The sequence below is a fragment of the Homo sapiens genome, chromosome 1 (assembly GCF_000001405.40).
Source record: "Homo sapiens chromosome 1, GRCh38.p14 Primary Assembly".
Lineage (NCBI taxonomy): Eukaryota > Metazoa > Chordata > Mammalia > Primates > Hominidae > Homo > Homo sapiens.
In genome coordinates this window covers 3,100,039-3,115,355 of record NC_000001.11, presented here as the reverse complement: position 1 = coordinate 3,115,355, position 15,317 = coordinate 3,100,039, and the positions used below count along the sequence as shown (strand labels likewise).

The window sequence follows — 15,317 nt, the reverse complement described above, 5'->3', positions numbered from 1 at the left end:
AGGCCCCCTGCACTCCCTTTCTGACGGGCGCTGATGGGGCCACCACATTCTCACAGCCCCTCTGCCCCCACTGATGGGACAGCTGGGGCTGGCTGGGGTCTGAAGCCTTCACATGAGGGTCTCATGAACTCCAATGTGTGGGGGACCCAGGAGAGGCGGGGTCACAGGGTGATGGGTGCCATCCAATAGCGAGTGCCCCCCCAACCACTCACCGAGGAATGTGATGATGTGGGAGGAGCGGGGCAGGGCACAGAAGGCTGCAGCACTCAGGCTCAGAGGCTGGCCAGGCCCACACTGTGGCTGAAAACCAAATGTGTCACTCTGTGCACCAGACTCCAGAGGCTACACCCAGATGTCACCAGCCAGGGGTGGGGTGGGCCCAGGGGCGAGGTCAGAGGAGAAGGAGGCCTTGGCCAAGTGTGCAGGGAGGCGCCTCTCCTCACCCTGAGGGCTGAGTGCGAATCCTGCATCCCGGCCAGGGCCTCTTCCTCCCCTTCCCACAACATCTGGGACTCTGGAGATCAATTGCAGGGCTGACCTGGGATGGTCTGGGCAGGGCTGGGAGTGGTGGCTGTTTGGTGAAGCGCAGGAGCTCCCCGTCAGGGGCCTGCACCCCACCATCTACCCGGCTGCAGGAGGGTGCCTTCCCTCTGTGTGTGTGTGCACCCGGGTGCATGTGTGCATGTGTGTTTGTGTGTGCACGTGTGTGTGCTTGCACATATGTGTGTGTTCATGTGTGTATGCACGTGTGTGCATGTGCACGTGTGTTCTTGTGTGTGCAAGTGTGTGCTTGTTTGTGCACGTGTGTGTGTTCATGTGTGCATGTGTGCGTGTGTTCATGTGTGTGTGCATGCGCGTGTGTGCGTGCGTGCGTGTCTGTTTACACTGCGTGTGTGCGTGTGTGTGCGTGTGCGTCTGTTTACACCTGGTGTGTGCATGTGTGTGCGTGTGTGTGCGCGTGCGTGCGCGTCTGTTTACACCTGCGTGTGTGCGTGTGTGCATGTGTGCATGCGTGCGCGTCTGTTTACACTGCGTGTGTGCGTGTGTGTGCGTGCGTGTGCGTTTCCACTGCGTGTGTGCGTGTGTGTACGTGTGCGCGTGCGTGTGCATGTTTACACTGCGTGTGTGCGTGTGTGTTCGTGTGCGTGTGTGCGTGCGTGTGCGTGTGTGCGTGTGTGTGCGTGTGTGTGCGTGTGTGTGTGCGTGTGTGCAGTGTGCAGAGATACACGCCGCTGTCTTACTGCAGCACGGCGCCATCACAAATGAACATGCAAATACAAATCTACACTTCAAAACTTGGCAACTTTGTCCCTGAAACTCCTCCGCACATGACTAGTAGGTTTAAAAACAAAACCAAAGAAAACAGAGGAACCACTCCAGTGTTTGTCCTTCACATCCCGAGTGGGAGAGAAAAAAAAGAAAAAAATTCTCCCTCAAAATGAAACAGAAAATATTCTCAAGGGAAAGCATCTAACTCCTTCGATTCCAGAGCTTCTGAGCCCAGAGCCGGCCTGAGGGAGGCAGACACAGGGGCACCTTCGAGGGAGTCTGGGCCTCCCTGCCAGGATGCAGCCTCTGCCTCTGGCCCAGGGCCCCCAGACGGGGGTTCTGCCCTGGGGCACGCGGCCATGTCTGGGGATGTGTTTGGTGGTCAGCTCTGAGGGGGAGCCACCCTGGTCTGGTGGGTGGGGGCCGGGAATGCTGCTCAGCGCCCTGCAGTGCCCAGGACGACCAGCAAGACAAGGGATTATTCGGAGCAAAGTGTCAGTGACGCCAAGGCCAGCCATGGACGCAGGCCCCTCCCGCTGGCTCAGGCCTCGGCCTTGGTCATAATGGGTCTGTCTCGTCCCCTCCCCTCCCTCCCTCCCTCCTTCCTCCGAGCCTTCCTCTCTAGGCACCTTTGCTAAGCACCTAGTAAGTGCAGGTCCTGGGCATCCCCACGCCCTCCCCTGCCCAGCTGAGGACTGAGTCACACTCGGGCTGGGACCTGCAGTGAAGGAGCCACTGTGTTCCAGGGTCACAATCCCCTAGCCGTCCTGTCTCCTCCGGGCCCCTGTCCTGCTTCCCCTCCCACTCCCCTGCACCTGATGCTCCCTCCAGTGGCCCACAGCCAGGCCACCGCAGACGGGCTGACCAGAGCTTGGGGGAGAACATTGCAGTGTGCACAGCACGGGTGTCCAGCCCCCTCCGTGGAGTCCCTGTGGCCCAGTAATATCTCAGATCTGCTGGAGCCACACAGGCCACAGCCCCCTCCACAAGAGGCCCCCCAGTATCACAGAGGCTGGCTGTTCCCTGGGTCTGCTTCTAGCTGGGGCTCTGGGTGCCCCATGGCAGGCCCTGCACCAGTCTGGGAAGACTTGCATGGCACAGGGAGCACACCCCAGTCCTTGTAACTGCCAGCTGAGCCCTTTGCACATGTGACCTCAGTGAGTTCCCACAGGCTCTCCCCGCAAGAAGGATGGCCCGGGACCCCGTTCCACAGGAGGATGATGGGGCTGGAGCCCAGGCGGGCCCTCGGGGCTGCCCACCCCTTTGCCTCCCTGAGCGACTCCAATTAGGGGAGTGCAGACCTCAGACGGATTTGCCAATGCAAGGGTGACTATGCCCTTAGCTGGCAGAAACCCTCACCGGGGAGCAGCTGCCCGGCTGCAGGGGGTGGTCCACGCAAGTGGGAAGGCCCTGTCTGCAGGAATGCGGCCCGGCCAGGGCACCAGCGATGGAGGACAGGCTCCACAGACGCTCCCTCCACCAGCAGCGTGGGTTGGAGCTGCAGGCTGCTGGAGTCAGGGCAGCAAACATCAATCCCCAGGCGAAGGCCACTGAGCGGGGCCCTGGGGCGAAGCCGGCCCGGGAACACAGAGCCTTCCCGTGCAAACTGCCTCCCGCACCCCAGGCTGTGCAAGCGCGGGGCTCCTCTTACTTGAAAAAAGAATGTTTACAGACCAAGATAATGCTTATGACTAGAGAGAAGCGAAAAGAGAGGCTGAGAGGCCGGTTCCCGGGGCCCACGATGGATGCTCAGCCCTGAAATTTCATCATTTCGTATAAGTGGGAATTTGGGGACAAAGCCGTGCTCCCTTCTGTTTCCTCTGCCTTTTGTCACCACGGGTGAAACGCCGAGGCTCCTCCGAGGTCCGTTTAATCCTTTTAAGTGATGCCCTGAAACCAACTTTTCCTTCGCTAAGACCTTTTTGGTATTCTCTTCTGAATTCACCCCCAAAAATAAGGGGGGGAAAGGAACTTCTCAAGTTAGTGAGCGTGGATGGGGCAGGAGTTTTATTAAAGTCTTTTCTGTTTACTTCCCACCTAGATAAGATCTTAATCACAGCCCCCCAATTATCCGCACTGACATTTATCAAGGCCGGTCCTCCCTCGCCGCCGCGCCGGCCCATCAGCCTTTCTTCCTGCCCTCCCTCTCAATGGAAGTTAATTTCGAGTACATGATTTATCTTGCTGGGGAGCGGCGCAGAGGCGGCCCACCTTTTCAAAGGGCGGGCTGGGGAGTGAATTATCGTGGCGCTGTCCAGTGATTGGGTTCTGCGGGGAAGGAGAATAGGCAGCCGTGTGTCGCCTGATGTGGCGCTGGGCCTTTTCAGCCGCGAAGAAAAAAAGATTAGGCCTCTGACAGCGGGGCTGACAGGCGAGCCCAAGGCAGCAGACAAAAGGCCGGTACCTGAAAGCCGGCCTGCGCCCCCGCCCCAGGGGGCGTGCGCCCCTGACCTGCGCCTCCTTTCCGTGCGCTGGGCTCCCCCAACCTTGCTCGGCACCCTCCTCCCTCTTCCCCTTCCTCCTCCTTCTCTTCCTTATCCCACCTCTTTCCCTCCGCTCTCCCCTTCCCCTCCTTCTCTGGTCTTCCCTCTTCGAGGCCTCCTTGCCTGTCCTCCTCCCCACAGGAGTCCGCGTGGCACTGGGTCCACACAGGTGCCTGGCCTGGCTTTCCACCCCTTGACAAGAATCCTGCCTCCATGTGTGGACTTCCCCCCAGCACCACCTTCAGGAGGGAGACTCTTGTCCATCCTGCCTCCCCCACTGCCCAGTGCAGGATCACACAGAGGCCGGTGCTGCCCGCACCCCACTAAGGCCGTGGCCGAGGACAAGCCTCTTTCCCTTCTCTCCGCGTCTCCCAGGGGCCTTGGCACAGGCAGGCTGTGACGTGGGCACAGGGGCCCAGCAGTGGCCAGCAGGGCCCAAGGCCAGGTGTGGACAGGGTCCTAGGGGCCTGCCCTGGGAATCCCTGGGCCCCTGCACGTGAGCCAGCGTGGAGCCTCCCACCTCCAGCTTCCCCATCTCACACTCGGCAGGTGTGGGGCCCAGGGATTCCTCAATACATCGGTGCCACATCCTCACCAGCCCACGAAGCTAGGCTGGCAATGGCTCCCCTGCCGTCTTGCCCAGAACCGGGCAATCTCTGGCCTCCTTCGATTTAGACCCATCCCCCACCCCACCCCGGGGCATCAGGCGGCAAGGACTCGGCAACTGTTCTTATCCCAAGAGCTGCACCTCATCCCGGCCCCAAGCATGTGCCCCTCACACGTGGCCTCCATCCCTCCCACGCTCCTGTTAAAGAGAGGCTGAGCCGGAACATTCTCTCCAGGACCACAGGAAGCCCACAACTCAGAGATGCCACGTGAGGAGAAGGAAAGTTCACACCAAGCTGATCTTGACATCCTAACAGAAATACATTCTCTCTTTAGATAATGATTTGCATGAATACTTGAGAAAACACCCACGTTAGGTCCAACTTCAATCACTAAAATACGTTCCCCAGGACATGGGGGAGCCACAGACACTGTGTCCCCACACCCAGGACATGGGGGAGCCCCTGAGCACTGTGTCTGCACACCCAGGACATGGGGGAGCCTCAGACACTGTGTCCCCACACCCAGGACATGGGGGAGCCCCTGAGCACTGTGTCTGCACACCCAGGACATGGGGGAGCCTCAGACACTGTGTCCCCACACCCAGGACATGGGGGAGCCGCAGACACTGTGTCCCCACACCCAGGACATGGGGGAGCCCCCGAGCACTGTGTCCCCACACCCAGGACATGGGGGAGCCGCAGACACTGTGTCCCCACACCCAGGACATAGGGGAGCCACAGCCACTGTGTCCCCACACCCAGGACAGAGGGGAGCCCCCGAGCACTGTGTCCCCATACCCAGGACATGGGGGATCCACAGACACTGTGTCCCCACACCCAGGACATGGGGGAGCCGCAGACACTGTGTCCCCACACCCAGGACATGGGGGAGCCACAGCCACTGTGTCCCCACACCCAGGACAGAGGGGAGCCCCCGAGCACTGTGTCCCCATACCCAGGACATGGGGGAGCCGCAGACACTGTGTCCCCACATCCAGGACACGGGGGAGGCACAGACACTGTGTCCCCACACCCAGGACATAGGGGAGCCCCCGAGCACTGTGTCCCCACACGCAGGACATGGAGGAGCTGCTGTCTGTGTCTGTGTCTGGAAAGAGGTGATGCCAGCTGAGCCCATATCCAACACAAATGAGCTTCCCCTGAAAAACACACCGGCCACTCATCCATTCTCTCCATGGGCCACTCAGGTGATATTTGGGGGGAAATTTGGCTTTGAGACCCCGTAATAACTCCCATACTCGTTTGCTTTCATGTCCTTTGCTCAAGCACACAGACGGGATGGAAATTCCCCTGCCACACTCCCCGGGATGGACTTGATGCTTTCCTGGAGGAGTTCGGATTCTTGCCCAGATGAAAAGCCCTAAGGGCTGCTCAATTAGTCCTCGGCGGAAGCCCCGGTCTAATGGTCTGTGATGCTTCACTAGGGCCTCCCAGGAGCGTTTAGTATTAGACAGTTATTAAAGGGCAGTTGACTTCTGAGATCTGTGGGGAGGAATCACTTTAGCGTCTGTTTAGGGAGCTAGTCTGAACATCTGCAGGAGGAGAGAGAGCCTCAGCCTGCATCCTGCGGGCTCCACGGATGAGGATGCAGCTGCCTCCCCAGGATGGTGCTGCCCCTTGGTGAATGGTAAAGTAATCATAATGATAATAATACTGAATACAAGCTAGAATCCACGGCATTTGGTCCAGTCGAAGGAGCTGGTGGCAGCCCACCCACCTGCAAAACGTGGACCGGATCAGCACACTTAGCCCCAAGGCGACAAAAACCTGTGACACAGAAAGAAGGTAAAACACCCCAGCCTTTTTAGGGTGCTGCATGGGACACACCTGTTTTTCAAAATATGTGATTTTGTTTGACATTATTATTATTATTATTATTATTATTATTATTTTGAGATGGAGTCTTCCTCTGTCACCCAGGCTGGAGTGCAGTGGTGCAATCTTGGCTCACTGCAACCTCCACCTCCCAGGTTCAAGCAATTCTCATACCTCAGCCTCCTGAGTAGCTGGGATTATAAGTGTCCACCACTACGCCCAGCTAATTTTTGTATTTTTGTATTTTTTTTTTTTTAGTAGAGACAGGGTTTCATCATGTTGGTCAGGCTGTTTCACATTATTTTAAAAATTTGCCAGCACCTTTTGGGACAATCTGTTGGCATCCTGAGCACTAAGGGGGCACTGCCTCTGAAGGTCCTGCTCAAATGGACCCCTCCTGGCAGGACAGGAAGGGAACAGACATCTGGCACCAGCTCCCATCTCAGGGCCACTCGGCCTTCTTGACAGTGCTTTGACCTGGAGCAGCTGCCCAGAGGCACCATCTCTCTGTGCCTTGGTTTCCTCCACCCCTCCAAAAGCAGAGGACAGCACCTGGCAGGGTGCCTGTCCCTAGCATATGGCGATTACTCCAATAGCTGTGTCAGGCACTGTAGCATTGCCAGGCATAAACCAACTGATGATTGGGAAGAAAGAGATGAGAAACTGAGAGACAGACCCTCACTGGGACAAAACTTTGACTGTCACAGAGGTGATTTTGCAGGTTACTTGGTAACATTTTAAATCCCAGAGGTGAATACTTCCCCTACATAGACCAGGCTGGGATGGAGCTTACCCACCAGCTGCATGAAAGAAAAGTTAGATCCCTACCTCACACCATACATAAAAATTCACCATTGGTGGGTTGAAGGACTTCATGATGGAAAGTAAAACTTCAAAAAAGAATTACAGGATAATTTGGATTGGGAATAGGGAAGGGTTTATTTTTAAAGGAAGCAAAGCTCTAAGGACAAACGGCAAGACCAATGGCCCCTTGCTAGACATGCTCTCCCAGTCCTACGAATGTAAGATTTCACACTCTGTGTGCTGCAGCTGCATCTCCCAGGCTGTGGAACTGAGATAATAAGAGCTCCCAACTCAAGGTTTGTCTGGAGAAAGGAATCAGTTTGGCATGGCCTGGTGTGGAGGTGAACTCCCTGACACCAGCCACTGTGGCAGTGCCAGTGCTGCCTTGCTATTCCCTGACAATTCAGCCCCCCTCCCCGGCAGGGGTTGCACAGCATTTACCTTAGGACCTCCCAGGAAAGCCCAGCCCCAGGCTAGACACATGGCATGGTCATTGAGGCCCAGAGCTTGGCCAGTAGTGGCTTGAGCAAGGCCCAGGGCAGGGAGAGAGTGAGGCCAGGGGCCACAGCCAGCACAACCAGGAGGCAGCTGGGGTTTGGCTAGCAGAGTTCCCAGGGATAGTGTGTGTCTCTTACAAGGAAAGGTGGTTTCGAGTCACTGGTCCAGTGAGGAGGACAAAAGGGAACAGAAATCCATCCAGGATGCCTTCCATGATGATTGTGACACCTTCACGGGGTTTACCACAAACACCCGCCATCAGAGAAATGGGCTGAGACAGAGAAGTTAACCAGCAGCTACTCTGAGATGAGGATGGCGGTAAGGAGATCCGCAGGCTCCCCATCGGGCATTAAATGATATATACTTAAAGGATTGCTCTATTTACATTAGAATTAGTTGTGCAGACTGACACCAAGGAACTGCTGGCTTCCAAATCCCGAGCCCGGTAATCCCTCCCTAAGCTTCACACTGTAAACCACCTGGGCACAAAATCAATGGCTCCCCCGGCCCAGCCAGCACTGTGGAACCACCTGCTCCCAGCTCTTTGCCCAAGCCCGAAAGCCTAGCTGTAGCCACAGCCTTCTGGAATCCACCAGACTGGTCCCCCAAGACCAACAGGGTGGGGACATAGGCAGGGTGAGGTTCAAGGTGAGCAGCTTTGCTCTTGGAGACACTTGACCCTGGGAAATGGCAGCCCTGCTTCCTGGGCCCTCGGCTTCCTTCCCTGAGGCCATGGCAGCAGCAGACACCAAAATTCCTGGGGCACCTACTGGCCCCACCCTGATGAGGTGTGAGCTGCTCTTGCCAGGCTTAAGCCCATGACACCTGGCCCTAGGGCCTGCCCCCTGGCCATGCTGCCATCCTGGCCTCTGGTGGGGCAGGGGAGAGAAAGGCTGGCCCCCTCTCCTTCTGGTCGTCTGGGTGGCAGGGCTCTGTTGGCCCCAGGCGCTGTTGTCATGGAGCCACACCTGCCCACTAGAGAACAGGTGCCCACTATTCAGTGACAGGGCCAGCACTATCAGCCCTATGGGCACAGCCCTCTGCCCTTACCTTCCAATGCCAGCCCAGCAATGGCCAGCACTGCCTCGCTGATACCAGTGGACCCTCAGGCAGCCCGCCGGGAGCTGCTCCCCCCCATGCTGGCCTGGCCAAATGCCTCCACTGGCCCAGGTGCTTGGGACAGAAACCTGGGGGTGCCTTCCCTTTCCCAAACCCCATGTGTAATTCATTGCCAGTTCCTGCCAGCTCTGCCACCCAGCGCACCCACACCACAACTCCCCAAGCCCCACCTTGTCCAGCCTTTGCCCTGTGACCACTCCCCCAGCCCTGGCAGGATCCCCATCCCTGCCTCTGCTCAGGTACCCGCTGTGTGTGAGCCAGGCAAAGCTATCCATCTCGCACCAGCCCTCGGGCCCCTGAGCCGCTTCTGGCCCTCCAGCCCCCTCGGGCCCCAGTGGGGCCACCACCCAGTCCTCCTCAGAAGCACCAGGCTCTCAACAGCCTCAGGCCCAGTGCCCCGGCCCCTCTGCCCAGGGAGCTCCCCTCCCTCCTAGCCTGTGTCTCTCCTTCAGCTTCCAGGTTGGACACCCCCATCGCATCCAAAGAACTGCCTGCCAGGTGTTCTCTGCAGACCTGGCCACCTGCTCACCAGGGCTGCTCTCTTTGGAAGACAGGCTCCCCCAGGGGCTTCCCCCCATACCCCGCCCACCCTGCCAGGACTCCATCCACATGTGCTAGGTGGGGAGCTGGGCTGGCATCCTTTGAGGCCGAGGGTGAGACGGGCCCCAGCCTGCCCCCTTCTCAGCCCTGAGCCCTGCACCCAGGAAGCTTCAACAGGAAGCTGGGGCTGGAGGACAGGGCAGAGCTTTCAGGACATGTCCTGCCCCCACCCAACTAAGGAGCACAGGTGGACCCCGGGGCACACTAAGGATGGCCGTGGCAGAGGGGCTTTGGGCTGCTCCTCCCTGAAGACTCTCTGTGGCCGGCCTGGCCTAGCTGCCCTGGCCTCTCGCCTGTTTCCTGTCCTGTCTGGGGCGCCGCAGGGGGAAGGGGCTGCACACAGCAGTGGCCTCTGCTAGCCCCGTTCTCAGGGCGGGAGGCGAGGCCAGCGGAGCGCTAATTAGCATGCTGCTTGTGGGCCGAGTTAGGAATGTAATTACTGCGGGAGGCAGAGCCTGCCCGAGGAATGCATTTTGAAGGTTACCATAGGAATCTGCGCTGGCCTATTCATCCCGCAATACTAATCACAGTCATGAGGAAGGGATTGGGGACAGCGCTAGGCTCACATCTGAGGGGATGCCGGGAACAAAGTGCACACTTGCTCCTTAACCCTTTGGGGTCCAGACCGGTGACCGTCCAAGGGTTCCCTTTCCTGCAGCCAGGCCCAGGCCTCAGGTGCAAGGCTGCGCTCCGGAAGAGCCTGCTGACCAGCCCCTGGCCCAGAGAGGGCCCTGACCAGACCATGCGCCCATGCACAGCGCCTTCCATCTCTGGACCCACAGGGTGCTGCAGTGCAGACCGAAGCCTCTGCTCTGGGCCAGGTGCCTGGAGGAAGCGGGGTGTCAGAGCTGTGACCAGGCCGGGCTGGGCCCTCAAGTTTGGGCCCAGGGAGGCTGGTGGGCAGGACAGTGGTACCTCCAGGTCTAAGCCCTCAGGACACCAGGCAGGCAGTGGAAGCTCCTGCTCCCCAGTGAGGAGCCTGTGGCCATCGTGGGGAGGGCTCACTACTTGGGGGGATGGCCCTGCTTCTCCTCCTGCCCAGGCACTCCTGACAGCTTCTTCCAGCACCTTCCACCCGCCCCCACCCCCCGCTCCTCTCCAGCACCTTCCAGAGAGGACAGCAGATCCTCCCATGACACCTGCTCCAGAACAGTCCATCCTGCCTCCTCCCATGCACTGAGGGACTCACCCTGCAAGAGCCCTGTCCTTGGAGGCCACCCTACCTCCGGGTGGGTGTTCACCTCTCATGCATGTGTTCAGTGAGCGTTCATGAAGTGGCCACTGGGTACCAGATGCTGCCAGGAGCTGGGAGGAGCAGAAGCATCCCTGCCCTTCAGGGTCCATGTCTGTGGGCGGGGTGGCCACGGCCCAGGAATGCACAGCGAGGGCCAGGTGACGTGGGGAGGTGGGGGCTCCAAGGAAGACTTCACTAGGGGTTTGTAGCCCAGAGGGGCCTGCCAGGGTGACAAAGTGGCTGCAGCTCTGAATGAAGGGGGCAGAAGGGGTCTGGGGAGAGGGCCGCTGGCACATGCTCCTGGATGTGTAGGCGGGGCCAGCCAGGCTGGACTGAGGGCTTCTTGAGGGCTGGCTGCGGCGCCCACCCTTGTGAACACTGGGGCAGACAACTGCTGTGGTCTCCCGCCCACTGGAGATGCCCGCTGACTCAGCACCCTGTCCTCTCTAGCACTGTCCCTCCCCGGGCAGCCTCTGCCTGTTCACTGGAGCTTCTAGAACAGCAAGGCCCTGTGCACGGAGGCGCTTGCCTTCCAGCCCCTCCCAGCTCCCACCAGCACCTTCCAACCCCACCCCTCCCAGCTCCTTCTAGCACCTTCCAGCAAGGACAGCAGGTCTTGGGCTGCCTCTGCTTAGCCCTGACTTCCCTCTGGGAGGCCGCCTCCTGGGTCCCCACAGTGCCGCCTGGGAGCTGGAGTTCTGAAAAGGCTGGAAGCAGGGAGCAAGCATGCAGGCTCCTGAGCCATGCTGTTCTCATCAGACCTCGGGGGACCCTGTCTCCATGGGAATCCGCCATTCAGTGGTGGCCCAAGGAGCTGTGTGTTATCAACATGCCTTTACCCGGCCAAGGAGCAGTGACTTCGGCGGAGGAAGGCAATTTGTTTGTGAATTTTGCCCTTTGTTATGGAAAGCTGCTGGGTTTTAAAAAATTGTATAGGTTTGAACCGTTAACTCCCAGGGTAGTCCCGCCCTGTGGATGGGGAAGTTTGTGGATGTGTTTATTTCTTTATTTTTTAAAAAACATACAGAATTGATGTTAAGTAGCCGTATGCAAATTCCCTGGGGCCTGTGGATTTTATTCTCTTGAAATCTTATTGAAAAGGCTCAACCCCACAAAAATGGGAAAAATTGTGCACTCCAGAGCAGCCCTGGTTTCCAGGGACGCCTCTCAGGTTTGAGGCCTCTCTTTAAGCTCATGCGGCTTCTCAGAATGGTGCGTGCATGCCAGTTACAGAACTCTCGTCCCCTCCTGCCCTGCACACCTGCTTAAGGCGATGCCCAATGGCCTGGGCACCCTCCACAGGTGTTTCTGCACCACCCCTCAGGGGCTGGTGTTTTTGGCGGTATGCGAGGTTATCACTAACAGTCATGCTCAGAGACCCGGAACAAAGAGCCACTGCCAGTCAACACGACATTTCGAGGAAGGGCACTGGGTCCCCTCAAATTCACAGGCGAAGCCCTAACCCCAGGAGCTCAGAATGCGTTTGGCGAGAGGGTCTCTAAAGAGACGACTAAGGTAAAGGGAGGTCATTAGGACGGGCCCTAATCCAATAGGACGGGTGCCCTTAGAAGATGAGGATGCAGATGCAAAGGGATGACCATGTGAAGACACAGGCAGAAGACAGGGCCCAAGAGGGGCCTCAGGAGCAAACAGCACCACGGGGACCCTTTGTTTTGAAAAAACAAACTCCTGCTGTCTAAGCTGCCCAGTCTGTGGTCCGAGGTACTTGGTTACAGCCGCCCCAGCTCACCAGGACAGGCGTGGTGGTCGGAGATGGAGCTGCCCATCTCTCCTGACTTTGCTGCTGCGGTGGCCCCAGGTCCAGCAGTAGTAGAGGAGGACCCATTGAACGTATTTGCACCCCAGACTGGGAGGAACCTGAGTTCCTGTGAACGCCTCTGTGCACACAGGATCACATCTTCTAGTTTTAGGGAGAGGAAGATTTGAAGGAAATGATACATTCAGACTCACATCACCGGGGCTGTCAGGTGACCCTGAGGTTGGGCTACTCTGACCTCCAGAGCAGCAGGGCCACCTCCCACCTGAGCATCTGCTCTGGAGCAGGAAGGAGAGCAGCCACATATGGGGTAGGAAGCAGATGGTCCCAGCCCTTCCAGAGTCCCTTCCGCAGGGGCCCCAGTGGGCAGGCTGTTTTGCTCACTGAGAATCTGGTAACAGGTACAGGTCTCCTTGTTCAGGCAATGGTTTTGGTCCTTCAGAGGAGCAGCTGGAGATAACTGCAAAGCCAGAAAGGGCCATAAAAGCATATTAAAGCCTGTCTCCGAGGGCAAACTCCATGCACAGTGCAGAAAACCCCATGAGCACTTCCCCAAATGCCCAGAGATGGAAATGCAGGACACTTCAGATCCAGCCGTCCTGTCTAGGCCGGGATGCCAGAGGGGGCCCACCTGCAGCTCAGGGATGGGGATGCGGTTTTGAGGATTCATAGCTGAAACTCTCAGCTAAGATCCCACCAGTGGGCCCCAGCCCATGAGGACCCCAGAGGTGGCTTCCCATGACAGCTTTTATTCCAGGACTCCATCCTGGAAGACTGCTGTAGGAGTCTGGCCTGAGCCAAGAAGCCCCAGGGAAACCAGAGGGGACAGCTAGGAGGTAGCCAGGTGCTGGCAGGTCCTCCCTCCCCTGAGTCCCCTCCCAGCCCCGCTGGGGAGGCCTGGGTGGTGGCGCCACCTCTACCTGGCTCCCTGTGCGGCTGGACTCACTGCCCACCCTCTCTGAGCTCTGGGTTCTCCACTGCGAAATGGGGCTCCTGGGAGCATTGAATGAGGCTGTTCAGCCTGAGACTTAGCTGTGGCCGGGGCATCCTCCCCAACTCTGCCTTCCTTGGTTTTGTAAATCAGGACCCCACACAAGGTTGGGGTTAGAAAGGAGTCCTGTTGCTGAGAATGTTGAAAAACCACCCGTGTGAACTCTCCTTCCTTGGAGGGGCTGTGCTTTTCGGCTGGCCCCCAGACAGCAAAGACTGTGCCCCAGCCCAGGACTCTAGCACTAGCTCCAGCTGGGACTGGGGGTCTCCGGGTGGGGGAGACAAGAACGGGTGGTCTTCCCAGTCTTGCCCTAACACGGATGTCACCATACATAGAAAGCTCCAGATCACTCCTGCTGAGCTGGGCCGGCATTCCTTCTCAGCCTCAAGCTGCCCTGAGGACATATGCCATTTTTCCCCACCCCTGGCTGGTCCTCTGACCTTGCCAAGTTCTGTTCCCTCACTTGGTGGCTTCCGGCTCTGCCTGGCCCGGAGCAGAGACCCCCACGGGTGCCCTGGCTCCTCCTTGCACAGTGTCAAGGAAGCAGACAGACAGAGCTCAGGCCAAGCCTGCCCTCCTGTGCCAGGATTCTGTGGCCTCTCCAGGCCCCGTGTCCCCTTCCCCGATGGCCGCCGCTCCCCCAGCCTGTCCCAAAGGTGCTGGGACGTCCGCTCACGCTGGTGGTGCGGCTGCCCATTCAGGACAGATAAGCCCCTTTAGAAAACGAGGGGGAATTTAATTCAGTGCCTGAGTGACAGCGCGAAGATTTATCCCCTGGCCAGACAATACGGCCCTGGGGCTTTAATCTCCCCTAGACAATGCACTGCCTCGCGGCCCTCATCTCAGGCTTTTCCCACGATGGCTGGTGATTAGCTGAGGTGCGTTGGATGGGAGCCACTATCTCTCGGGAAGAGTGTTTGCTCGTCCGCTGGGGCCAGAGGGAGGAGGAGCAGGAGGAGAGCTGAGCTCATCGTGGCACAGTCTCTGTTCCCCAGACCGAAGGGGCACAGCGAGGAGGCTTCCCACGGCATCCTGGTGTGCCAGCCGGGCGAGATGGGGACATACCTGGGGCCCAGCAGCATCCACTCCCGCCGAGGGCATCCCCCATTAGGGAGCAGCCCCTGTCCTCAGCCGGACACCCACCCCCTCCAATGCCCCCTCCTCCAGGCCTCCCGGGCAGAATGTCAGCCAGCACCCACATGACCAAGTGCCACCCGTCACCTTGAACAAGCTCCTCCCCGGGGGCTTCGGCACAGCCGTCGTGGGTACTTGTGGCACCTCCCTTTCCAGGCCACATTTATCTCTCACCTTCCACTCTCATGGCCCCACAGCTGGATCCAGCTGTGCTGAGTCAGCCCAGGTCCTCCTGCCCCACATTCCACCCCACAGGACCCACCAGCCCTATAGGGCGTGTGTGGGTGTATCTATCTTCCTCACGGGAACCTCACTCGGGGAAAGCTCCTCCCTGGGCAAACGGGTTACATGGGGGGCTCCAGGCGGCAGCGTCAAATGCCCCTCGGGAACTGGGGGTGCTTGGGAGGACCATGGGCCGTGCCTGGAGCTCGCTTCTCCAGGCCTGTGGGATGCCTCAGGAGGCCCCAGCAGAGGCCCCGTCCACTGAGGGCAGGGCGTGGAGGTTCTGCAGGGGCTCCATAGAGAGCAGCTCACCTGCCCCACACCCCAGCCATCATGTCCTAAAGACCCATCCATGTCCCAGGCCACCACCCACGGCCAAGGATGGGGAAGCGGCTCAGCCACCCACTGGAAGAGAGGACCCAGTAGAGGACCTAAAGACAGGAGCTAAAGCAGCCGAAAGTCACTCTGCGTTTTATGAAGAGCGAACGGGTCTGTGATGTGGCGTTGCTGCTACAGGCATCCATCTACCTCCTTCCCAGAGAGTGGGCACTGGGGCCACGTCACAGAGCGGGCAGGGGGCAAGCTCTACTCTGGTCCCCACCTCTCCAGCCAGGGAGGAAGACCAAAGGCCTCAGGGGAGGGCAGGGCCCTTCCTTCCCACAGATGCCAGGGGACGGCCACCTGTCAGAGACCCACAGGGCAGTGCCGGGCCTCTCCACGCCCCTCAGAGGACAGGGCTTAG

At 58.8% G+C, this 15,317-nt stretch overlaps 1 protein-coding gene across 2 annotated transcripts in view, besides 3 other annotated features; it reads right to left on the bottom strand.

The window, feature by feature from the left end:
* Positions 1 to 15,317, bottom strand: part of PRDM16 (PR/SET domain 16) — a 369,419-nt gene that overhangs the window by 323,266 nt on the left and 30,836 nt on the right. The window lies entirely within an intron of this gene.
* Positions 553 to 1,128: an enhancer, noted in NCBI's record as "H3K27ac-H3K4me1 hESC enhancer chr1:3030792-3031367 (GRCh37/hg19 assembly coordinates)". NCBI's record gives its function as "activates a minimal SCP1, AML or CMV promoter by ChIP-STARR-seq in naive H9 embryonic stem cells {active_cell/tissue: H9 hESC(naive)}" and the evidence as "EXISTENCE:reporter gene assay evidence [ECO:0000049][PMID:30033119]".
* Positions 1,129 to 1,705: an enhancer, noted in NCBI's record as "H3K27ac-H3K4me1 hESC enhancer chr1:3030215-3030791 (GRCh37/hg19 assembly coordinates)". NCBI's record gives its function as "activates a minimal SCP1, AML or CMV promoter by ChIP-STARR-seq in naive H9 embryonic stem cells {active_cell/tissue: H9 hESC(naive)}" and the evidence as "EXISTENCE:reporter gene assay evidence [ECO:0000049][PMID:30033119]".
* Positions 7,771 to 8,330: an enhancer, noted in NCBI's record as "H3K27ac-H3K4me1 hESC enhancer chr1:3023590-3024149 (GRCh37/hg19 assembly coordinates)". NCBI's record gives its function as "activates a minimal SCP1, AML or CMV promoter by ChIP-STARR-seq in primed H9 embryonic stem cells {active_cell/tissue: H9 hESC(primed)}" and the evidence as "EXISTENCE:reporter gene assay evidence [ECO:0000049][PMID:30033119]".